Source organism: Homo sapiens, chromosome 21 (assembly GCF_000001405.40).
Source record: "Homo sapiens chromosome 21, GRCh38.p14 Primary Assembly".
NCBI lineage: Eukaryota > Metazoa > Chordata > Mammalia > Primates > Hominidae > Homo > Homo sapiens.
In genome coordinates, this window is record NC_000021.9 from 33,628,740 (window position 1) to 33,654,091 (window position 25,352).

General features: G+C 42.4%; 2 protein-coding genes across 26 annotated transcripts in view, besides 4 other annotated features; one reads left to right on the forward strand and one right to left on the reverse strand.

The window, feature by feature from the left end:
• The window catches only part of CRYZL1 (crystallin zeta like 1), a 52,401-nt gene extending 39,399 nt beyond the window's left edge, over positions 1 to 13,002 (reverse strand). Inside the window, exons 1-2 of the mRNA NM_145858.3 lie at positions 12,942 to 13,002; positions 2,747 to 2,818 (exon numbers count right to left, since the gene is read on the reverse strand). Of these exons, the coding sequence (NP_665857.2) occupies positions 2,747 to 2,812 (66 nt within the window). The 5' untranslated portion in view covers positions 2,813 to 2,818; positions 12,942 to 13,002. The remainder of the gene's footprint in view (positions 1 to 2,746; positions 2,819 to 12,941) is intronic.
• Positions 12,741 to 13,150: an enhancer, noted in NCBI's record as "active region_18383". NCBI's record gives its function as "activates an Ori minimal core promoter by ATAC-STARR-seq in GM12878 lymphoblastoid cells {active_cell/tissue: GM12878}" and the evidence as "EXISTENCE:reporter gene assay evidence [ECO:0000049][PMID:35858748]".
• Positions 13,621 to 13,960: a silencer, noted in NCBI's record as "silent region_13263". NCBI's record gives its function as "represses an Ori minimal core promoter by ATAC-STARR-seq in GM12878 lymphoblastoid cells {active_cell/tissue: GM12878}" and the evidence as "EXISTENCE:reporter gene assay evidence [ECO:0000049][PMID:35858748]".
• Positions 13,762 to 25,352, forward strand: part of ITSN1 (intersectin 1) — a 257,361-nt gene continuing 245,770 nt past the window's right edge. For all 25 annotated transcript variants that reach the window (XM_017028428.2, NM_003024.3, XM_017028431.3 and 22 more), the window contains exon 1: positions 13,762 to 13,974. The gene's annotated coding sequence lies outside the window, so the exon portion shown is untranslated. The remainder of the gene's footprint in view (positions 13,975 to 25,352) is intronic.
• Positions 13,971 to 14,070: a silencer, noted in NCBI's record as "silent region_13264". NCBI's record gives its function as "represses an Ori minimal core promoter by ATAC-STARR-seq in GM12878 lymphoblastoid cells {active_cell/tissue: GM12878}" and the evidence as "EXISTENCE:reporter gene assay evidence [ECO:0000049][PMID:35858748]".
• Positions 14,391 to 14,520: a silencer, noted in NCBI's record as "silent region_13265". NCBI's record gives its function as "represses an Ori minimal core promoter by ATAC-STARR-seq in GM12878 lymphoblastoid cells {active_cell/tissue: GM12878}" and the evidence as "EXISTENCE:reporter gene assay evidence [ECO:0000049][PMID:35858748]".

Consider the following 25,352-nt stretch of genomic DNA (forward strand, 5'->3'; position numbering starts at 1 on the left):
TACAGGTGTCAGCCAGCATGCCTGGTTAACTCAAAAAAATTTTTTTTTTTGTAGAGACAGGGTCTCCCTATGTTGCCCAGGCTGAACTTGAACTCCTGGGCTCAAGTGATCTTCCATCCTTGGTCTCCCAAAGTGCTGGGATTATAGGCACCTGGCCTTTTAATTTCTTTTTTAGATAGTTTGCTGTCGCTACAGAGAACTACTACTCGGCCAGGCGCGGTGGCTCACGCCTATAATTCCAGCACTTTGGGAGGCTGAGGTGGGAGGATAGCTTGAGCCCAGGAATTTGAGACCAGCCTGGGCAACATGGCAAAACCTGCCTCTACCAAAAAAAAAAAAAAGTTAGTCAGACAGACATGGTGGCACATGTCTGTAGTCTCAGTTACTCAGGAAGCTGAGGTGGGAGCTGATGCTGGGGGAGGTTGCAGTGAGCCCAGATTGCGCCACTGTATTCCAGTGTGGGTGATGGCGCAAGACCCTGTCTCAAAAAACAACAACAACAACAACAACAAAGAACTGCTACTGATTTTTTTTCTTTTGGAGATGGAGTCTTGCTCTGTTGCCCAGGCTGTAGTGCAGTGGCACAATCTTGGCTCACTACAACCTCTGCCTCTTGGGTTCAAGCAATGATCCTGCCTCAGCCTCCCGAGTAACTGGGACTAGAGGCGCACGCCACCACACCCGGCTAATTTTTTGTATTTTTAGTAGAGATGGGGTTTCACCGTGTTGCCCAGGCTGGTCTTGAACTCTTGAGCTCAGGCAATCCACCCGCCTTGGCCTCCCAAAGTGCTGGGATTACAGGCGTGAGCCACCATGCCCAGCCTCCTACTGATTTTTTATTTCGTATCCTATAACTTTACTGATTCATTAATTAGTTCTAACTGGTTTTTGGTGGAGTCTGTAGGGTTTTCTATATATAAGATCACGTCATCTGCAAACAGGGATGGTTTGACTTTCTTCTTTCCAATTCGAATGCTCTTTCTTTCTTTCTCTTGCCTAATTGCTCTGGCTAGGACTTCTATTATTATGTTGAATAGAAGTAGTGAAAGTGGGCATCCTTGCCTTGTTCCAGATTTTAGAGGAAAAGCTTCCAACTTTTTCCTGTTCAGTATGATGTTAGCTGCAGGTTTGTTATACATGGCTTTTATTATATTGATGTATATTCATTCTATGCCTAATTTATGTAGGATTTTTATCATGAAGGGATGTTACATTTCATTATATGGTTTTTCTGTATCTATTGAGATGATCAGAGGGTTTATGTCCTTCATTCTGTTAATGTGATGTATCACATTTATTGATTTACTTATGTTGAACTATCCTTGCATCCCTGGGATGAACACCACTCGATCATGGCCGTCAGGGAAATAGATATCAAAACCACAGGAAGATATCCCCTCATCCCCATTAGAATGGCTATTATCAAAAAGACAACAAGTAACAAATGCCGGTAAGGATGTGGAGAATGGAAACTCTTATACACCACTGGTGGTCATGTAAATTAGTATAGCCATTATGGACAAAAATATGAATGTTCCTCAAAAAATTAAAAATAGAACTACCAGGCTGGGCGCAGTGGCTCATGCCTATAATCCTAGCACTTTGGGAGGCTGAGGCGAGCGGATCACCTGAGGTCGGGGGTTTGAGACCAGCCTGGCCAACATGGCGAAACCCTGTCTCTACTAAAAATACAAAAATTAGCCAGGTGTGATGGTGCGTGCCTGTAATCTCAGCTACTCAGGAGGCTGAGGTAGGAGAATCACTTGAACCTGGGAGGCAGAGGTTGCAGTGAGGTGGGATGGCACCACTGCCCTCCAGCCTGGGCAACAGAGTGAGACTCTGTCGCAATTAAAAAAAAAAAAAAAGAACTATCATTTAATCCAACAATCCCTCTCCTGGGTATACATACATCCAAAGGAAATGAAAGCAATATGTCAAAGTGATATCTGTACCTCCATGTTTACTGCAGCACTATTCACAACAGCAAAGATATGGAATCAACCTAAGCGTCCATCAACAAATGAATGGGTAAAGAAAATGTGGTATATATACACAACAGAATACTATTCAGCCATAAAAAGAGTAAAATCCTGTCATTTGTGAAAATGTGGATGAATCTTGAGAACGCTGTGTTAAGTGAAATAAGCTAAGCACAGAATGACAAATATTACATGATCTCACTCAAATATGGAATCTAAGACAGTTGATTGCATAGACGTAGAGAGTCCAATAATGGTTATTAGAGGCTGGGGAGATTAAAGGGGTGGGAGCTGGGGACAGAGGTTGGTCAACAGGTACAAAGTTACAGGTAGATGGAAGGAATAGGTTCTGGTGTTCTATTGTACAGCAAGGTGACTATAGTTAACAACGTATTGCATATTTCAAAATAGCTAGAAGAGAGGATTTTAAATGACACAACAAAATGGCAAGTATTTTACTGATAGATATGCTAATTACCCTGATTTGATCATTACATAATTTATACATGAATCAAAACATCACAGGGTACCCCATAAATATGTACAATTATGTGCCAATTAAAAACAAAATAAAACTTAAAAAATAGTTAAACTACTATATGAACCACCATTTTCACATAAAATTTAAAGGAAAGTACTGTAATTTGAGGAGTTTCATTTGAGTAATTTTGTTCATTAAGTCTCACTGAAAATAACGTCATTTAAAAGTGGGTTTATTGCAGATAAAAATACACTAACTACTTTAATGATTAAACATTTTTTCTTACCTTTTCTTGAAATACAAATGTTATTTCTTCATCTGTGGAACTCTGTTGGAAATATAAGCCTTTCATAGTCACCTAAAAATAAATATATATAAATGAAATAAAATAACAAGTCTTCCAGACTAAATGTAAGCAAAAATGGAAAAACAGTGCTGGCAAAGGATAAAACGACAACTACAAATGTAGTTTTCAAATAAGTAAATTTAAAAAATCTTTCACAAAGTGATCAAATAAGAGAATATGCAACACTCTCTGGGCACCTGTCTTACTGAGAATGGGTTTACAGTTCAACCTTTTACTACAAAGGCAAACATGCTTCATTTTACTTTCCTATACAATAAAAAAGATTACTTAAAAGAAGCCTTATGATGGCCAGAGAAACTCAATTTTATTTACCTTTTATTAAATTTTCCTTTAATTACCGTTTATGAAAGGCTTTCGAAGTCTTAAAGATCATTAAAAAGGAGAAAGTGAACAGCCAAGACACCGGTTGAAAATTGTGGCCCTAATTCTTCTGTATCAGTCTATAAACCATTTAATGGAAGTATTTAAACTTATAGCCGGGCACAGTGGCTCACGCCTGTAATCCCAGCACTTTGGGAGGCCAAGGCAGGCAGATCATCTGAGGTCAGGAGTTCGAGATCAGCCTGACCGACATGGAGAAACCCCATCTCTACTAAAAAAAAAAAAAAAAAAAAAATTAGCCAGGTGTGGCGGTGCGTGCCTGTAATCCTAGCTACTCAAGAGGCTGAGACAGGAGAACCGCTTAAACCTGGGAAGCATAGGTTGCGGTGAGCCGAGATCGCGCCATTGCACTTCAGCCTGGGGAACAAGAGCGAAACTCTGTCTCAAAAAAATAATAAAATAAAATAAATAAACTTATATTCTGTGAACTTATTTATTTATTTTTTTTTAGATGGAGTCTCGCCCTATTGCCCAGGCTGGAGTGTAGTGGCACGATCTTGGCTCACTGCAACCTCCGTTTCCCAGGTTCAAGCGATCCGCCTGCCTCAGCCCCCCTAGTAGCTGGGATTACAGGCACGCGCCACCATGCCCGGCTAAATTTTGTATTTTTAGTACAGATGGGGATTCACCACGTTGGCCAGGCTGGTCTCGAACTCCTGATCTCAGGTGATCCACCCGCCTCGGCCTCCCAAAGTGCTGGGATTACAGGCATGAGTCACCGCGCCCGGCTCTGTGAACTTCTTGAGGTATCTCTAAAGATTCCACAATTGTTTCTTTAATTTTCAGAGTAATTATGTGGTAAGACTATTTTTTATGCAAATTTTACAGAAGTATAAAATATAGAAAAGTACACAAATCCTTGAAGCGCATAACTTGTTGAATTTTACAGTGTGAATATGCCCACATCATGGCAGGAGACACATCATCATACACCTCCAGAAGTTCCCTGTGTCCCCTTCTCCTCCTAAGGAGACCCAATATCCTAAATTTTAACAGCACAGATTAGTTTTGTCTGCTTTTGAACTTTATATAAATAAAATTATACTCTTTAATGTCTGTTTTCTTTCTTTCTATATTAGGTTTGTGAGTCTCACTCATGTTGTTACTTGTAGTTGTATTCCATTCATTCGTATTGCTACATAGTACTCCACTGTATAAACAAATTGCTATTTATCCATTCCACTATAGACAGACACTTGAATTGTTTCCAGTTTGGGGCTCTTATGAATTGTTCTGTTAAAAACATTCTTGTATATACTTTTTGGTAAGAATACTATTATTTCATTTATTCTATGAATGAGGAAAGTGAGTCTTAGCTTAAAGCATGTAGCTGGTGTCTCATAGCACCAGCTGGGCCAGAACTGGGATATAAACTAGGTGCTACTTCTTCCAAAGTCATTACTCCTAACCATGGCTTTTAATGGTTTCCTACTGAGCTGCTAACATTAGATATATCAATTAAAGTTGAATACTTTTTTTTTTTCTTTTTTTTGCAACAGAGTCTTGCTCTGTCGCCAGGCTGGAGGGCGCAGTCTCGGCTCACTGCAACCTCCATCTCCCAGGTTCAAGCGATTCTCCTGCCTCAGCCACCCGAGTAGTTGGGACTATAGGCACGTGCCACCACACTTGGCTAGTTTTTGTATTTTTAGTAGAGAGGGGGTTTCACCATGTTGGCCAAGATGGTCTTGATCTCCTCACCTTGTGATCCGTCTGCCTCGGCCTCCCGAAATGCTGGGATTACAGGCATGAGCCACCGCACCCGGCCTAAAGTGGAATACCTTTAAGATAATAATTAAGTACCTATTGATAGTTCTGGCTACATAATTTGCAGAGCCTAGTGCAAAATGGAAATGTGGGAAGCCTTGTCTAGAAATTATTAGAATTTCAAGATAGCAGAGCATGAAATCAAGCAAAAGTCTCTTCTGAATCTGAGGTCAGTGAGACTGCATAGGCCATATGTCCATAAAGCCAGCCCTCTGTGTTGAATGTTAGTGGATCTACTTGGATCCAAATACGTAAAGAGTTTTTACAGAGTGTAGTTGAGCAATGGTTGTTGGTTTCTCGGACGTGATAATCAAACGCTGGAATTAACAGAAATGAATACACATTCAAGACATATATAGAAATTACGTATGTAGCATGTATCAATGAAGTATATAAAAGCAGGATTAAGCTAGGTTAAATGATTAATTCTAACGCTTTGGTTGCAGAAGGTCTTTGTGTCAATGTTTTTGTTTGGGGGCTGGGGAGAACCGAAGCATGGATACAACATTTACGTATTCCCTCCAGCATTAAATCTAACCTCCTTTGAAGGCTCTCTAAAATGCATACTCTCTCTCCCTACTCTACCTTACTGCTTCCACAATGTCCAAGCACATACCCTCTATCTAGTTAGTATGACTTTACATCATATGGTTACCCCATCTCAGAGCTTCTAGGCATGGCCTGTTCTCTGACAGAATGCTGTAATTTAGATTCTGCTAAGTAAATAAAGTTCAAGTTCTACCCCCTCTCTGGAATCATCCCCAGTGACACTCACTCCATTTGTTCCATGCTTCCCGATTTCATTACACACTAATGAAACCTTGCTTTATTTATTTACTAACTAGCGGGCTTTCCCAACCATTGCCTGGGAAATATATCCATTATTATTAAATAAAAAAAAAAACAACTCTGTTCCTACTCAGTCTGGAGTTACTAGAATTGCCTTTTTGAGAAGTGGAACAATTACGTATCAATGCCTTGATTTCAAAGCATCTTGCTTTGTGATACTGGAAGCTACTGTTTTCTCTGCCCATTGAATCTTGAAATATATGGCATGTCTCCCAGATAAGCAGTCACATGGACCTTAGACTGTGCCCCAATTTCAAAGACCCTGGAAGATAACTGCTTGTTTGTACCCCTAGTATCCCTTAAAACAAACAACAACAACAATATATATATATATATATATATATAAAATAATGGCAATATTTTTAGTCACATCATCCTAAATAGTTTCTCTAAATTAGGTGAAAATTGCCCTGGTTGGTGGAAAAAAGTAATGTTCAGTTGGTCCAATTGAGAATTGTATGGGAACAAAAATATCCTTAAAGTTACAAAGTAAAGAAAGAGAGGTGTTTTTACAAAAGTAGCCAGAAGAAAACTGAGGAAATATTTGTCTTGAAAGCCCAAAAAAAGAATACTGAGTTCCTAGTACTAGGAAAATGGTAGAATGGATGGTATTCAAGGCCCACATGGTTTCCTAGGCAGATTAAATAAAACAGTCTATTACGTAACAAAATTGTATTTCATTTTATTTTTTGTTTTTTGTCTCACACTCTGCCAAGTCTCATGTTATTTAATAAAATTTGTATTGACTTAAAATACATTTGCACATAGGACATAAAAGTATTAAACTTTTTTTTTTTTTTTTTTTTTTGAGACGGAGTCTCGCTCTGTCGCCCAGGCTGGAGTGCAGTGGCGCCATCTCAGCTCACTGCAAGCTCCGCCTCCTGGGTTCACGCCATTCTCCTGCCTCCGCCTCCGGAGTAGCTGGGACTACAGGCGCCCACCACCACACCTGGCTAAATTTTTTTTGTATTTTTTAGTACAGACGGGGTTTCACCGTGTTAGCTAGGATGGTCTTGATCTCCTGACCTTGTGATCCGCCTGCCTCGGCCTCCCAAAGTGCTGGGATTATAGGCGTGAGCCACCGCGCCCGGCCATAAAAGTATTAAACATTTTATAAAATAAAAATATAAATTAAAATGTATAGGCCGGGCATGGTGCTCACGCCTGTAACCAGAACTTTGGGAGACCGAGGCGGGTGGATCATGAGGTCAATAGATACAGACCATCCTGGCCAAGATGGTGAAATCCTGTCTCTACTAAAAATACAAAAATTAGCTGGGCGTGGTGGCGTATGCCTGTAGTCCCAGCTACTCGGGAGGCTGAGGCAGGAGAATCGCTTGAATCTGGGAGGCAGAGGTTGCAGTGAGCTGAGATCGCGCCACTGCACTCCAGCCTGGCAACACAGCGAGGCTTTGTCTCAAAAATAAATAAATGAACAAATAAATAAAACAAAATATATAATATGACATTTCTAAGAAAAGTCATGTAACTTCAAAATTATAAGTTCTACTATAAATTTTACTATACCAAAAAAGTATGATATAAAACTTTTTGCCCAGAGTGGTGGCTCACACCTGTCATCCCAACAATTTGGGAGGAGGCTGGGGTAGGAGGACTGCTTCAGCCCAGGAGTTCCACAGCCTGGGCAACAAAGCAAGACCCTGTCTCTTAAAATACAATAAATAAATAAATAAGCCTGGCGTAGTGGTGCTCACCTGTAGTTCTATCTAGGCATTGGAGGCTGCTTTGAGCTATAATCAACACTGCACTCCAGCCTGGACAACAGAGTGAAACCCTGTCTCTTAAACATACAAAACTTTTTAATTACAATAAACCTGTTTAAAAATGTAGGCTGATATAGCCTGTGAAAAGCATAGAAATTTTATACTTTTACAGGTATATCAGAATTTCAAAATGTTTGAATTAATCCACAAACTGAGGATTATGTTAGTAATACTATAAATTTTTATATTGGCCATACAGTAAACTTACTAAAAAATCTGGAGAAACAAAAATTAAGGAGATAATACCAATTTAGAATAATTTTTAGCAAAAGCAGAACGAGAACTTTGCATAAATTAAACACTTGACTACAAACACTTCAAGAAAGTAGTTAATAAAAATACTGATCTGTTAAGGGATTTCTAAAAAATCAATGGGAAGTAGTTTCAAATGGTTTCATCCTTCTTATAATAGCAACATGAACTCCACTTGCTCCTCTGTTACACTCAATCCCCCAAGAAGCTCATCTATTCTTTTTTCTTTTTAGACAGTTTCACTCTGTCGCCCAGGCTAGAGTGCAGTGGCGCGATGTCGGCTCACTGCAAGCTCCGCCTCCGGGGTTCACGCCATTCTCCTGTTTCAGCTTCCCGAGTAGCTGGGACTACAGGCGCCCGCCACTGCGCCCGGCTAATTTTTTGTATAAAACTCATCTATTCTTAGTTGTAAATAAAACCTCTACAAATCATTCCTTACCTACACTTTCAGGCCAAAAGTGTTTTGAGCATCAGACCAACTTCAAATTTAACAGACACAAAGCTGGACTCATCTTTCCCCCAAACAAGATTTTGCTGTACTCTCTAGTCATCAAGAATAATTTAGATCGCTGGGCGCGGTGGCTCACGCCTGTAATCCCAGCATTTTTGGAGGCCGAGGCGGGCGGATCACGAGGTCAGGAGATGGCGACTATCCTGGCTAACACGGTGAAACCCCGTCTCTACTAAAAATACAAAAAATTAGCCGGGCGTGGTGGCGGGTGCCTGTAGTCCCAGCTACTTGGGAGGCTGAGAAGGGAGAATGGCATGAATCCGGAAGGCGGAGCTTGCAGTGAGCCGAGATCGCGCCACTGCACTCCAGCCTGGGCGACAGAGCGAGACTCTGTCTCAAAAAAAAAAAAAAAAAGAGTACCTTAGATCCATCCCATCACCTTCACCTCAATGCCTGGGGCTCGGGCTGTGGCGATAGGCTGCCAAATGCTTTCAATACTCTCCCTCATTCAACTCATCTATTCCCCTATGGTTAATTTAATTCCTGAAAGTCCAAACTCCTCTTCTTACATGCTCAAATTTTTATTAGTCCCCAACACAAACTTTATAATACTATGGCCACTCCAGGTTCAGAGTTCGGTTATAATGTTTCTAACCTACCTTCATTTTTAAGGAAAGCAAAGATATATATAAACAGCTACACAAGAGAAAAACATATATATATATATATATATATATATATACACACACACACACATATAAACAGCTAGACAAGAGAAAAACAGATGAAGTCAACTCTGAAATGTGGCCCTGTATGCTCAACCTGGTCACCATGCCAGGCTCTCTTGGGCAGTATCCAATACCCTATTACCCATCCATCGTTGGGACCTGTGCATAGCATTATAATACTAGCTGGATTGTTAGGGGGAAATCTTCAGTTATATTTTGATCATTTGGGAAAAGGTGAATTAATGTTAAATTTTAACAATGTTCACATTAATCTGTGAGACTTTTTGTACATATTCACACATTGGAAAAAGAAATATGCCCAAATATTTGATTAAAAAGAATATAGTCACCATAATCAAAGCAACTAGCTGGAGGTTTGGCTCAAATATATTCTGCAGGGTGTGGAGGATGGTAGTCCTAATGGGTCAGGTCTGCTTTTTTTTTTTTTTTTTTTTGATACGGAGTTTTGCTCTGTCACCCAGGCTGGAGTGCAGCTGCATAATCTTGGCTCACTGCAACCTCCGCCTCCCGGCTTCAAGTGATTCTCCTGCCCCAGCCTCCCGAGTAGCTGGGATTACAGGCGCACGCTACCACACCCAGCTAATTTTTTTGTATCTTTAGTAGAGATGGGGTTTCACCATGTTGGCCAGGCTGGTCTCGAACTCCTGACCTCCTGATCCACCCACCTCGGCTTCCCAAAGTGCTGGGATTACAGGCGTGAGCCACTGCACTTGGCCTGCTTCTTAAAGAGGGTAGTGAATGCATGGTTATAACAGTTGAGGATATCTCTACATGGTATAGTCAACAGTCTCTAGAAATATGTATATTCAAAGGACACTTTGCACTAGCAATGAGTCCACAGGTGTTTTGGGTGTTTTGCTGTGCACAACTGCAGTGCTCTTTTGTGCCTGTTATTATATAAGATGGGCACAGGAGATATTGTGACAGTGGCTTATATCTGGCTAAACCTTGTAAAGCAATTCCAGCTGATAATATAAGAACTTTAGGCATTATAACTTAAAACTAAATGGAAAATGCGTAACATTAGATGGTCCCTATCACTAGAGGGACTGAAACAGAGGATGGGTACATATTACACAGGCTTCATAAAGCAGATTCCAGAGTCAACTGAGTGGGACAGGTGGATCAAATGACCATTTAGTTCTCTTCTAATTGTGACAATCTTGATAAATATTATCAAGGCATATTCGATTGAATTTATACATGTGTGGCATAATCTCTACATCTTATGCAACTTGAGATCTAAAGATAGATAAAGGAGCAGAAAAGGAAAATTGTTTCTTTTTTGCCTACAGTGGCTCTCAACAAAGAACTCTTTTGGATCTCAAAAGAATTTTTGATGACCTCCCCACCTCCATGAGGGATTTATTTTATTATCTGTTGATTTTCAGGTGGCATTTTGACTTAAGAGTCTAGGGTTTCTTACATGACCAATTCCCCACCCATATCTCTGGGGGTTGGAGACGTGGGATGGTCATTATCCCAAAGATCTGAAAATCTCTGATCCAGTTACTATTCAATGTAGGGCTATTTAATATAATATGATCCAGAACAACAGAAACTTAACTTTCATTTATATTTTTGAATGAGCATCTTATTTTCCTATATTGTACTACTGGGGAACAAGGGAGCGAACGGTGTGATGAATGAGTCTTCCCTTTATAAGGTGGCTTAATTATGTGACTCTGGGACAATGCAGGTGGAGGCCTCTGGTGATGAGAATAACTAATTGAGGGATCCTCCCGAAACTCTACCACACAACAGTTACTCGCTCCCCTCCAATCCATTTAACTGACTTTCTTTTCCACCTACTAACATTATTGAAGTTTGTAAATGCTTAATTTTCCAGTTCACTAGAGGATTGTAGAGAAACCACTTCTTGCTTCAAATGAAAAATATGAATTGTAATTTTGATTAAATATTTACTAATTCAAAAATCAAGAGAAAATAATTTCATGTCTTTATTATGCATAAAATGGAAGACTTTTTTTTTTGTAAAATACCATATTTTAGCATATATAGATGTGTATTTTTTTTTTTTTTTTTGAGACAGGGTCTCACTCTGTTGCCCAGGCTAGAGTGTGGTGGTCGTGATCTTGGCTCACTGTAACCTCCGCCTCCCGGGTTCAAGCAATTCTCCTGCCTCAGCCTCCTGAGTAGCTGGAATTACAGGCGTGCACCACCATGCCCGGCTAATTTCTGTATTTTTAGTAGACACGGGGTTTCACCATGTTGGCCAGGCTGGTCTCGAACTCCTGGCCTCAAGTGATCCACCCGCCTAGGCCTCCCAAAGTGCTGGGATTACAGGCGTGAGCCACCACGCTCGGCCAATATGTGTATTTTTGCTCTTCTGCTCATAAAACTCTCCTGAGCTCAATGTAGTTCATTGGGTCTACAAAAAGAGCATAGTTAATCTTAGAAATATTTCATTGCACAAGGCTGGCAGCTTTATCTTGTATGGCGAACTACCTCACTTTCAAATCTAAACGTCTTATCCCCTGCTGTAAGCTGGAACAGAGGCATCGATAAGGGAAATTAGTGATAAAAGGTAGTAATTATACACTGCAATGGCTGCGGGATCTGATTTAGAAGTCATAACTGACCCGAGTTTGAATCGGGGCTTTCCTACTTATTAGCGGTATGACTTTGGGCTACTTAATTTTAACCTTTCTGGGCCTGAGATCCCATATCTTAGATAATAATAGCAGTTATCTCAGAGGGTTGCCATAAGGATTAAATAATACCTGCAAAGCACTCAGCGCAACATCATACTTTCAGAAATGTTGGCTATTTTGACTATTATTTCTGTAAATTGGGCACATCTCAATTACAGAGAATCTCTAAAGTAGTTCTGAATCCCATCTCATAGAGTTGCAAAGGGTTTGGTCAATGCAACCTTATTTTTCCCACCTTTTAATTTCTGCAGTAGGCTACTGTAGCAGCCACTAGCACAGGTGGCTATTGAGCACTCCAACTGTGTCTAGTCGGAATTGAGATGCGCTGTTAAGTGGAAAATACACATCAGATTTTGAAGATTTAATTTTGAAGAATTAATTTTTTAATTTAATTTTGAAGATTTAATACGAAGAAAAGAACGTAAAATCTCAATTTTTAAATATTTGTTTAAGCGTTGAAATGATAATGTCTCAGATATACTAGGCTAAATGAAACATATAATTAAAATTAATTTCACGTGTTTCTTTTCACTTTTTAAATGTAGCTACCCCAAAATTAAAATGACATAAGGGACTCGCATTATATTTGTACTGGACAGAGTTCAGGTAAAACCTTTCTACTCATAACGTGGACAGCAGCACCTGGGAGCTTCTTAGAAACGCAGATGTTCGGCCCCGACCCAGACCTATCCCAAGGCGATGCTTACATCTCGCTCCAGATGATTCCGCCGTTTAGCATAATGAAGAGGGCCGATCTGGCTCAAAAGCCACATACAGCGAATAACTACTAACTGCTTTCCGAAAACAGCAAAGTGATGAGGAAGAAAGAAGTGGCTGAGAAGAAGTAACAGAGAAAGAAAAAGACACTCAAATTCTAGGAACAAGAAGCAGAGGAGAAAAACCCAACCTGGGAGATTAAGTGGAAGGGCACTCCCAGACCTCTGCCTCCATAAAAGTAGAGGGAGATGCAAACTGAGATAAGACCTACAATCAAAACCCGTCAAGGTCCAGGAAACTGTCCCTCAAATCTAGTCTTACCCACCCCTCAGCGGCCTCAGCTAAGCTAGGCCTGGGCCCGAACAAGTCCCAGGTTAGGGTTCGACGCGAACCACCATCCTCCCCAGGGCTGCACGGTTCTGTGGGGCATCTCTCCACCTTTCGCTTAAAGGCCCGTTTCCCAAGACACAGGACGCGTTTCCCGGGGCTCACCTGCCTCTGAGCCGCCCCAACGGCCTGCACCTTCACCACCGCCACCTTCCAGTCCTTCGTCAGAGAGCCCGCCCCCTGCTCCCATTGGTCAGGCCGCTCGTCACTCCTGAAGGGCGGGGTCGGACTCGCGAGGCTGTCCAGAACGCCATGGCAACCGGTCTCGGAACTACATCTCCCGTCATGTTCCGCTCGGGGGCGGAGAAAGAGGCGAGGCCCCGCCCCAAGGACTACCAATAAATGGGCGAAGTTGGAATCGCCCGGATGGGTTCCGTTTTATGCAAATTTTAGCCGAAGACCACACCCTTCCTCATTCCAACCATAGGCCCGGCCAACCCCTTTGGGTTGTGCTTCGCCTTTTTCCTTTCCACATTATTCTCTCCTTGAAAACCTCCAATAATTAAGTCAATTAAGTGCATCCTATCTAGTGTCTCTCACGGCAACGAGCAGATGCACCGAAATCGTGCAACAAAATCTCCATAAACCACGATAGGCAACCTCAGACCATAAATCTCCTGTTACGCCTACATGGGGAGGAGGGGGAGAGTGCTAATCCTGCCCCCACACAGCCCCTGCTGATTGGCTCATTCGGCTTGTCACTCTGTTGTCTTACATTTCTTTGGCTCACCCTCTTTGGGTTCGCACGGTGGGCGGGGCCAGTGGTAGGGGGTGGTGAGAAGGTGCGGGCCCCTTCTTCCAATTGGCTGGCGGTTTCCCCACCCACTTATGGGCGGAGATGGATGGTGGATGGGGGGCGGGGGAGGCAGCGGAGGGAGATGAGGAGATAGGCGGGAGCGAGGGAGCGAGGGAGGGAGCGAAGGAGGTAGAGAAGAGTGGAGGCGCCAGGGGAGGGAGCGTAGCTTGGTTGCTCCGTAGTACGGCGGCTCGCGAGGAAGAATCCCGAGCGGGCTCCGGGACGGACAGAGAGGCGGGCGGGGATGGTGTGCGGGGCTGCGGCTCCTGCGTCCCTCCCAGCGGCGCGTGAGCGGCACTGATTTGTCCCTGGGGCGGCAGCGCGGACCCGCCCGGAGATGAGGTGAGGAGAGGGCTGCAAGGCGGCGGCCTGGACCACGGGCGGCTGCAGCGGGGGCGGGGGTCGGCGCGGGGGTCTGCGCGATGGCTGCCCGGGGCATCCGTCCCGCGCCCGGCGCTTGTCTCCCCGGCCGCCCTTAGCCCCTCGCCGCGCGCCCGAGAGACGGCAGCGGCTGCCCCTCTGCCTTGTCCTTCCCGTCCTCGGGGGTGGCGGCGGAGTGGCGGGCGGACCCGCACTGGGAGGCCGGGGGCCGCGGTGGGCCGTGGGGTGGCGGCCGCGGGACGGGCGTGGGGATGAATGGGCGCCGCGGCCCCGCCGCCGAGCGGGCTCCCTCCTCTCGCGGGGACCCCGGGCGGCCGCTCCTTCCCGGGCTGACCTCGCTGCCCTCGGCCGCCGGCGAGGGGCGGCCCGGCCTCGCCTCCCGCCGGCCTCCCGGGGACCCGCGTTGGCGGGAGCGGCGCCGCCTCTGCCTGGAGCCCCGGCTCCTTCCTCGGCCCCTCGCTCGCAAGCCTGCAGAATCCTGGGTCAGTGAAGGGCAGGCAATGCCGTTCGGCCCCAGGGCGCGCCGCGGGGCCGCCCCTGAAGGCATTTAAAGGGGAGCGTCTTCCGCGCCCTGTGAGCGCGTCCCCGGGTCCGCCGCGTCCCTTCCCTTCTTACGCACCGACACGGTTTTGTGGTGTGGACCCAAGACACAATTGCAGTCCCTTGCTTGCACGAATGCAATCCGAATTCCCAAAAAAAGGAAACCGGCGAGGAATCGGCCGCACCTTCCTGCGCTTCTGCTTGCCTTGGGATTAGAAAACAACTTCGGAGATTACATTTCCTATGGGCAATCTTTTGTTGTGATTCAGACTCAAGAAGGCTTTGCTTTGGAAGAAATAGATTAGCGGCTTCTCTGTGGAGTTGGAGGCTATAGAGATTTTTATAGCCTCTTCAATATGAAAGTTTCCTCTAGAACTTTGCCATCATCAGTGCTATTCTGAGGGCAGCAGCAACCTGGAAATTTAGATACATGCAGGCTCCGGCCAGATGCGTTTCTTTGTGCTTGTCTGTTGGCATTCTTCTCTTGCTGCTCCTCTTGATCAAAACGTACAGATAATAAAGGCAAGGCCAATGAAGAGGGTAGATAATAACAGCAAATCCCATACAAACAAATGCCTCTAGAAATTCTCAGTTCTGTCAGCGGGGAGGCAGTTTTGCTAATCCCGTGGAACGGATGAAAAGAAAGGCACAGAGATCTCATGGATTATGTAGTGGACAGGATGTGAGGGCAGGAACTGGGGCCAGGACCCAGCAGGCCAGCTGGTTTGCATGGTGCCACTCTAAACCCCCAAAATATGAATAGGAGGAATGTATTTGTTGGGATACCTTTATTTTTAGATGACTTTAAGGTTGAGAGTGCAGAAGCTTAAACATCCTTCATAGTTATTATTTCTTAGTTTATCTCTGAGAACAAAATATGTTTCTGTTTAAAATTTCTTTTACTGGTGTGCTTGAAACGTTATTTTGATGGGAGTTTCCTTGTAAGTAAAAACATTGAAAAATACATACATATGAAAGAAAAATCCTTAGTGCAGATGGGTTTGTAAAGAATCCAGGGACTTTTAAGTCATATAAATTAAGAAGTGAGGGACACTAATTTGATGATGGTGTTAAAATTATTTCAGACACCTTTAAGTAGTCCAGTGGAGATCATTTCTGATAGTATGATCTTTTTTTAAAAAAATGGTATTTCTTTATCTAGGAATGCTTCTGTTGAAATTGCTACGGCGCATGGTACCGTCACAAAACTCTTTTATTATTCTGCCTGAGTAAGAGAGGAAATGAACAAATTTTTAATGTACTTTGGAACCCTGCGGATTGCACAGATACTAAGCATTGTGAAATAGGGCATAAAATGAGTGGTAGCAAGTTAGTTCTGTGAAATGTTTGTCGCTGTTAGCATTTTTTTTTTTTTTTGGCAGTCGACTAGCAATTTTCTTTTCCCTAAAGCTTATCTTCAATATTGGTAGTAGAACCTCTGCTCAAGTTTATCTTTTCCCCAAGTGCCTAGACTGGGACAAACTATCAAGCCTCCTGTAAGAGATTAAGGAGGAGCTGCTGGTAAATTCCTTTCCTTTTTTTTTTTCTTGAGGCAGGGTCTGGCTATGTCACAGGCTGGAGTGCAGTGGCGCAATCTTGGCATACTGCAGCCTCGACCTCCTGGGCTCCAGTGATCTTCCCACCCCAGCTTCCAGAGTATCTGGGATCACAGATGCACGCCACCATGCCCAGCTAATTTTAAAATTTTTTCTAGAGACAGGGTCTCTCTGTGTTGCTCAGGCTGGTCTAAAACGCCTACCTTAAACGATTCTCCCACCTAGGCAGCCTCCCAAAGAGCTAGGATTAGAGGAATGAGCCACCATGCTTCGTCCAAATTCCTCTACTCTAAATTATCTTTTTAATTTGCTAACATTTGTGAGTTGTAGAGAATTGATGACACGAGAGTTGGGATTATATTATGCACCTCAAATTCTTCTGCCATAGAGCTGTTCCCTTCTGAATGATCACTTCCTCCTGAATGGCTCCACTTAACTGGTTGGGTTTCTTAAAGTGTGGGCCTCAGATCACTTACATCAGCATTAATGGAGGCACTTGTTAAAAATATAGGTTTTGGGCATGGTGGATCAAACTTGTAATCCCAACACTTTGGGAGGCTGAAGTAGGAATAGCTTGGGCCCAGGAATTTGAGACCAGCTTGGGCAACACAGGGAAACCTGGTCTCTAAAAAAAAATTTTTTTTAATATTCTGGGCTTAGTGACTCGTGCCTATATTCCCAGCTTTTCTAGAGGCTGAGGTGGGAGGATCTGGTTCGCTTGAGCCCAGGAGATGGAGGCTGCAGTGAGCCATGATTGCCCTACTGCATTCTAGCCTGGGCGACAGAGAGAGCGAGCCTGTGTCCAAAAAGTAAGTAAGTAAATAAATACATAAAAATAAATACGGGTTTCTGTCACCTCGCTTCAGAATCAGACAGCTAGAGGTGGGGCCCTGGAATTGGTGTTGTTAATGCATTCTCCAGGAATTTCTCCTGCATAGGGAAGTTGGAAACCACTGGCTTCCTTCTCTCTGAGCATCTCCTGAGACTAGCTCCTGAAGTGGATAGAAAGTTTTTCAAGTAGCAGATTAAGTTTTATCCCTTAGGCTGCTAATAAAAAACAATTGACTGTGATTGCGTAATTTTACCTGTCGTACACCTTTCAGAAGGCAGAGGCTTTGGTTCACCCCTCTACCTCCAGGGCCTAAAACAGTGCCTGGAGGAACTCAATTAAACATTTGTTGAGTGAATACGTGAATTACATTGCAGCGAGGCCAATCTTTTAAAAGTTACTTGTCAAATTAATCTATCAGTTAGTGGCATATTAAAGCCCAGCATATTACAAAAAAATTTTTTTTAGTAGTCACTGATTTTATAAATTAGGAGCCACAAGCACTATACCCCAGTGACTTCTGTAAGTTTGGTTAGTTTAGAAAGGAGAGAGCCTTTCCCAGGCGTAGTGTGCTCAAGGTGATTAGCCAGAAAGAAGATTCAGAACAAAGCATTTGCTTAGAGAGTCAAAATGTAAATTTAAGTCACAGTGTAGTGGTAAATCATATATCAAACTTATATTTGGTATATTGTCTTATATCAAAATATCATTTTATAAACCATAAGTCCAACATACTGCTATAAAAATTGGTTTCTAGCAAATAGAGAAAATTGTTATGTTTTCCAATTTCACTTTTCATACTAATAAAATTTGACCTTTACACCTTCTTTTCAAGAGTTCACCACAGGGCACCATAGATATTATGTAGTTAAGAGCTCAAACTTTGGAGAATATTGTGTTTGACCACACATAGTCAGGGAGTTTGATCTAACCTCTCAATGCCTCATTTCTCAGCTGAACATGGAAATAGTAATAATAAAGTTCACATACTTCTAAGTGCTTACCTAAGTTTTTGAGACACATCCACTTAATAAATGGTAGTTACAGTGATGATAAAGAATTGGGGTGTATAAAAATACCTAAAACTCAAAAGCTAACCCATTTAATTATTGTACTACTGGACTTTTATGATAGTAAGTAGAAATCTGTTGCTTAAAAAAGAAGTTTCTTTGGTGGTGTGCGTCTATAGTCCCAGCTACTTCGGAGGCTGAGGTGGGAGAATCACTTGAACCCAGGAGATCAAGGCTGCAGTGAGCTATGATTGTGCCACTGCACTCTAGCCTGGGTGACAGAGCAAGGCCCTGTCTCAAAAAAAAAAGAAAAAAAAAAGTTTATTGCTAACTCCTTGGTACTATGTATAATTTTTTTAATTGAATGACTAGACTAAACATTGAAAGTATTTAATAAGCTATCAAATATGTATTAATATAAGTTTTGAAAATAAATACTAAATCTCCTGATCTCTTTTAGGTTAAAATATAGTTTATGATGAGCAACTAATATTCTTTGTATTTAAAAAGATAATTGTTTTATGGTAGAAAAATTGAAATACAGAAAAGTATAAAGTAGAAAACTATGAAATACCCGTAAGTCTACTACCTGCATACATATTTCTTCAAATCCTTTTGTGTGTGTGCATATGGCTATTCATATACAATTTCTGGTAACAAAAATGGGATCTTGCTATACATATGGTTGTAACCTGCTTTTTTTTTGCTTAACATCTTGTCATGAGTGTCTTTTCCTATATATATATTGCATTATAACAATTTTAGTAACCAAATAATATTCCGTTTTATGGATCTATGGTAGTTTTTTTTTTAATTTTTATTTTTTCAGACGGAGTCTCAGTCTGTTACCCAGGCTGGTGTATAGTGGCTCAATCTTGGCTCACTGCAACCTACGCTTCCCAGGTTCAAATGAATCTCTTGCCTTAGCCTCCTGATTAACTGGGATTACACATGCCTGCCACCATGCCTGGCTAATGTTTGTATTTTTAGTGGAGATGGGGTTTCGTCATGTTGGCCAGGCTGGTCTCATGCTCCTAACCTCAGGTGATCCACCTGCCTCAGCCTCCCAAAGTGCTGGGATCACAGGCGTGAGCCACCACACCCAGTCATGGATCTCTGGTGGTTTAGCCAATTTATTTTTATTAGACATTAGTTTGTTTATTTTTCCTCCACGGTTACTTATAACCCTGCAGTGACTGTCCTTCTACATATGTCTCTGAATGTACTTGTGAGATTATTTTCATTAGGATAAATTTCTACAAATGGAATTTGCAGGATCAAAGCCTATGCTAAATTTTAGGATTTTTTAAATCCGTATTTCCAATTTGTCATTTAGAAAGATTGTATCATTTTATACTCTTACCATGGTATATCAGACTTCCAGTCTCCCAGCCCCTTGTACCTTCCCCCATTTTATGGAATGACTTAACCAGTGACAAACCTAGTGAATTTTTGCTTTTAGGAAGAAGAATGGACTGTTAGTATAATGTGTTTAGTAGTGTGATATGGAAACTCAGAAATCTTGTGCATGGGTAATAGTGATAGCTAATGTCGATTAAGTTCTTTTGCAGCATCTTATATACATTAACTCACTTCACAAAAAACTCTCATCTTACAGATGCCTTGGAAACTAGGGTACCAGCAATTAGAGAGCCAGCAAGTGTCTGAGCAGATTTTTACTGTAGAGTCCAAAACTCTTAGCCTGTTTCCTAGACATGTTTTATAGGCATTTGGGTACTTTTTATGTTCTCGATTGCTGTTGTGGAGTAACTAAGAGGTTCTCTGACATGTACTAATATATAAACTGGGTGGGGCACAAATTTGAATCCCTTTCACTGAAGAGTTGGTCACATAAGTTAGCTCAGAAATTAGCTTTGGGACCGGTGCTGTGGGTCACTCCTGTAATCCCAATACTTGAGAGGCCAAGGTGGGAGCATTACTTGAGCCCAGGAGTTCCAGACTGGCCAGGGCAACATAGCAAGACCCTACAAAAAATTTTTTAAAAAGTAGCCCAGTGAGGTGATGCCCACCTGTAGTCCTAGCTACTAGGGAGGCTGAGGTGGGAGGACTGTTTGTACCCAGAAGTTGGAGGCTGCAGATGCCACAGCACTCCAGACTGGGCAACATAGTGAGATCTTGTCAAAAAAGAAAGGGGAGGGCAGGGCAAGAGAGAGAGAAAAGAAAGGAGAGAAAGAGAAAGAGAAGGAAGGAGAAAGAAAGAGGAGAGAGAGAAAAATTAGCCTCATCAACTGTCCAGCATTCATCCTTAAAGTAGTCTTGTTATCCTTTACTCTGTAGTGGTTTTCCTAAAGTACCCCTGCATGAAAAACAGGATTAGAGTGCTAGAGAAGACTAGTGAAATTTGAAAAGGCAGTTCACTTGTGATGTGGACTTGTCTTAGAAACGCAAGACTGTACAGAAGTGTGATGAGGGAGACAGCTGGGTGTGTGTGTCCAGGTAGTTCCATGTTGGCGAGTTTGGAGATAGAAAGTGGCCTAAGGAAGTTTACTTCCTGAATGTGAATGTTGGCCACTTTGGAGATAGAAAGTGGCCTAAGGAAGTTTGCTTCCTGAATGTGAAGGCCTCAGTGTAGAGAGATATCATCCACTGGGAGATCACTGAAAAGTAAACCAAAACATTTTTATTAATACATGGGATGGTAGAATGTCACTCCAGTTTTGTTCCTAAAGTTCGTAGCTCTCTAAGAAAGTGAATTTTAAGCAAGTTAATCTATTTTAATGCATCACTGCTCTTTCGGTGTTTTTCTAGTAGAATTAATGATAGGTAGCTTGCTTTATTAGCTTACTGCCCAGAGAGAACATTGGTGAAATTGTTTTGGCTTCAGCTCTCTGGACTGAGTTTGGCTGCCTAGCTCAGTTTTCAGTTGGTCACCAAAACCTGTCATTGTTTTTGTGTGGTATGGGGTCTGCTGGAGTCATGTGGTAGTGCGTTTGGCCCTTCATTGAGTGGTGGAGCCAGGAGTTGAGCTGAGGGCTGTGGCAGAATTTTGAATTCAAGTGAATTCGAATGTGAAAATAACAATGTCTGGCCGGGCGTGGTGGCTCACACCTGTAATCCCAGCACTTTGAGAGGCCGAGGTGTGCGGATCATGAGGTCAGGAGTTTGAGACCAGCCTGGCCAACATGGTGAAACCCCATCTCTACTAAAAAATACAAAAATTAGGCGGGCGTGGTGGCGCACAAGTGTAATCCCAGCTACTTGGGAGGCTGAAGCAGGAGAATTGCTTCAATTCCCTGCTTGAACCCAGGAGGTGGAGATTTCAGTGAGCTGACATCGCACCATTACACTCCAGCCTTGGCGACAGAGCGAGACTCTGTCTCAGAAAAAAAAAAAAAAAAGAAAGAAAGAAAATAACAAGGTCATAGCAACACAGCAAGTGGTCAGAATTTTACCCTTGGTGGTTAAAATTAAACATCCTCTTTTTAATACAGGAGGACAATGCTCTTGCTCCTCTGTTGCACTGGTGAGCATTTGATGTGTTCCTCCTTGCATTATGTCTGCAAATCGTTCTGGTGTCTGGTGGCATGCATTTGCAAGACATGGATACAGTTCATGGACGTGGACGAGGTCAGCTGGCTTTTAGTGTCAGGCTTTAACCAACCTAGTTAAGAAGGACGCTGACTCTTACCATAAAAGCACTGCAACAAGATTGGAATTGGAGCTCCAACGAATTGGAGCCATTCGTTTTGTGTGTGTGTGTCTGTTTGCCTGTGTGTGTGTACAGGGTTAATTACTTCTCTGCAAGGCAAATTTCCTGACCGGTTTTATTGTTCTAACACAGACAAAATGTTGTGTAAACACATATATCATTCCAGTGTGTTATCTATAATAGGAGTGTTCATTGTGGATCCAGTGTTTCACAAAAATCAATTCATTTCCGCTCTGAACTTAAGATAGTAGATTTTAAAACCAAGTTATCTTTCAATTTCTGAAGTTATCTGAAACTCAGCTGCCCCAGTCTTGCAGAATTGGAGAATTGCATTTTGGCCACTGATGAATGAAAGCTATATAGCTAGTAATGAGAGAAACCTTGAAAAATTGACAAGAAAATGAGTGCCATTCTTGGTATATAGCAGATTTCAATGAATAGTAGTTCCCTTTGCCTTTATTTTTCCTCTTTCCTGCACTTAATATAAAGAGCTAATATTAAAGTCATTAAATGAGAATAGATCTGTATTATAGGTAGCACTGCTTATTTTTAGACCCCTTCAGATACAGTTATTACAATTGTTGTTTTAATATTCTTTAAATGATTACAGGAGGAAGAAACTTGGTAGCGGGGTTACCAGGATGTTAGCTCCATGAGGGCAGGGAGTGTATCGCTGTTGTCCAGGGGGCTAGCCCCAGGCCCTAGAGCAGCGCCTGCTGCCTGGCAGACACGCAAGGGTTATTTGTTGGTTTATTAAATCAAGGAGTGTTTGAGGTCCTTCAAGCCTGGAGGCCCGAGGGCTCTGAGCTGGTACAGAGCAAGTGCTGGGGGCAAGAGAGACAGGTGGGGAGTGAAGGAGAGAGGCCCACTTGGGACTTGACTCTGAATGTCTGGGAAGTAGGAAGTTAATGTAAGTTTTAAGCAGGGGAGTCCCATGATGTGCTTTTGTTTAAAAATCTCCTTCTGAGTATCATGTGGGAGTGGATTGGAGGATGGATAGAGAGGAACATTCCATTGACTCGGCTTCCAGCTGTCTATGGATGTTGACGTTTCTACCTAGCCTTCTGCTTTATCTTTGTGATGAGGATAATGTGGTGTACTTTGTGAGGTCTCAGGAATGGTTTGAGATGAATGGTAATTTGTGTAAACTTTCCGGAGTTTCTCTGAGGAAAAGAGAACCCCATAAAATTATTACTATTGATCAAATGAAATAGCAGTGTAAGACAAAGATCAAGAATTATTTAGCTTTATAAACAAATTAATTGAGGTTATGAATATAGGTTTCTATAGGAGAGATTTTGTTTCCTTTTTTTAGTGAAAGAAATCTTAAATGTATGGGAATGAATCCTTAAAATAGCAGGCTTTTGCATTGTCTATAGAAGCTGTTCTCTTTGAGGAAGATCTGTTTTGTAAAATGCTGCTGTTGTCTGTCCAATCTGGAGTTTTAATTAGTATCAAAGGGAGGGAAATCCTGCAGTAATCGTAACCTTACTTTAATTCTTAGTTCAATTAGTTTTAAACCACAGTCATTATCTGTTATCTTTAGTTGTTTTGATCTTGGTAGATGAAGTGATTAATATTACAGTTGTGATTTGGTAATTTAAAAAATAACATGTTTTTTCCTACTACAAAAGGAATACATGTTTATTGAAGAAAACTTTTGGAAACATATATAAGGAAAGAAGACTAAAAGCCTACCAAGATCTTACCATCCAGTGATAATGACTGTTAATACCCTGTGAAGGTCAACATGCTCAAATTACCCAGCAGGTGCCTGGTGTGAAGCTACTTAGCCCGGGAGAGTTGAAGGCCTGTTAGGGACCACGAGCACTGAAGGTGGCAGGACGGTCCAGGGCCAGTCAACCCAGACCTTTGTGGTTCTGGGAGGATGCGTCCTGGTGTTACTACACCTTATAGTTATTTAGGAGAATGTGGGTTTAATATGAAATCTTCTGATTTTTATGTGGGCCACACTTTTTATTGTTAACACACTGGGGTTCAAAGCATACCTGAGGGCTGGATTCAGTCTTCGTTGCCTTGCCAGTTTGTAGCCTCAGGTACGTACAGTTTTGTAGCCTGTGTTTTTCACTTAATGTGTTGTATTTGCAGCCTTTTTTGCTACATCGTCATATATGTAATCAGTCACTTATTGCTGGACCTATAGATTCTTTGTCTTTTTGCTTTTTAATAAAGATAGGTAAAATTCTTGGACCAAAAGTTGTTTGTAAAGCCTTTGCAGCATACCGCTCTCAGATGCATTCCCCCTATCATGTAAAAGGTACTTGTTTCCTGTTCTCTTACCAGGACTGGGTAAAACCATCTCCAAAAACATCTTAGCCAATTTTATTTGTTTTAACTTGCATTATTTTCTGTATTACCAATGAGTGTGAATGATTATTAAATGCCTATTGGCCTTACACAAATTTATTTGGTAACCAACTTGTCTTGCTGGAACTCTAAGTTCCAGCAATGTTTTGGTCTTGCATTCAATGCTTCTCAGTCTTTGTGATTCCAGATAATATTAGTACTGTGTTAGTAGCAATAATTAGTACTAATTGTAGGCATCGTTCCCCAAAACTGAGGGCATCAGTATCTTTGGCACAACTATAATCCACTTAAAGTACTGTGACTGGGAAGTTCTTTTTTTTTTTTTTTTTGACAGAGTCGTGTTTTGTTGCCCAGGCTGGAGCGCAGTGGCACAGTCTTGGCTCACTGCAACCTCTGCCTCCCGGGTTCAAGTGATTCTCCTGCCTCAGCCTCCTGAGTAGCTGGGACTGCAGGCATGTGCCACCATGCCCAGCTAATTTTTATATTTTCAGTGGAGACGGGGTTTCGCCATGTTGGCCAGGCTGATCTCGAACTCCTCACTTCAGATGATCTGCCCTCCTCAGCCTCCCAAAGTGCTGGGATTACAGGCGTGAGCCACCGCACCCAGCCGTGATTGGGAAGTTCTGAGTTTAGTTAGCTGTTCAGTGAATGTTTGAGTACACGCTGTATATGCCTGGCATTGCTCTAGGTGAGTAGCCTTGAACCAAGATAGAATCTCAGCCCTCTAAGACTTCTATGCTTTTTTAAAAATTCTCGAGTTTTTCATACAGACCATCATGTTTATAAAGGACCATTTTCATTCCTAGAATTTATAATTTATTTTTAACTTGTATTTCTTTCTTTTTTTTCTTTTTTGAGACAGAGTCTCGCTCTGTTGCCCAGGCTGGAGTGCAGTGGCACGATCTCAGCTCACTGCAAGCTCCACCTCCCGGGATCATGCCATTCTCCTGCCTCAGCCTCCCGAGTAGCTGGGACTACAGGCATCAGCCACCACGCCCAGCTAATTTTTTGTATTTTTAGTAGAGACGGGGTTTCACCGTGTTAGCCAAGATGGCCTCGATCTCCTGACCTCGTGATCCGCCCGTCTCGGCCTCCCACAGTTCTGGAATTACAGGCGTGAGCCACTGCGCCCGGCCAATGTCTTTCTTTTTTTTGAGATGATGTCTTGTTATATCGCCCAGGATGGTCTTGAACTGCTGGGTTCCAGCAGTTCTCCTGTCGCAGCCTCCCAAAGTGCTGAGATTATAGGCATGAGCCACCATAACTTGTATTTGTTTATTGGCATGGAACTTCTAAAACAGTGATGAATGCTTGTTACCCTTTAATTCCTTCCTTCTTTCCTTCCTCTTTCTCTTTCTTTCTCTCTTTGTCTCTTCTTTCTCTCTTTTGTCTCACTCTGTCACCCA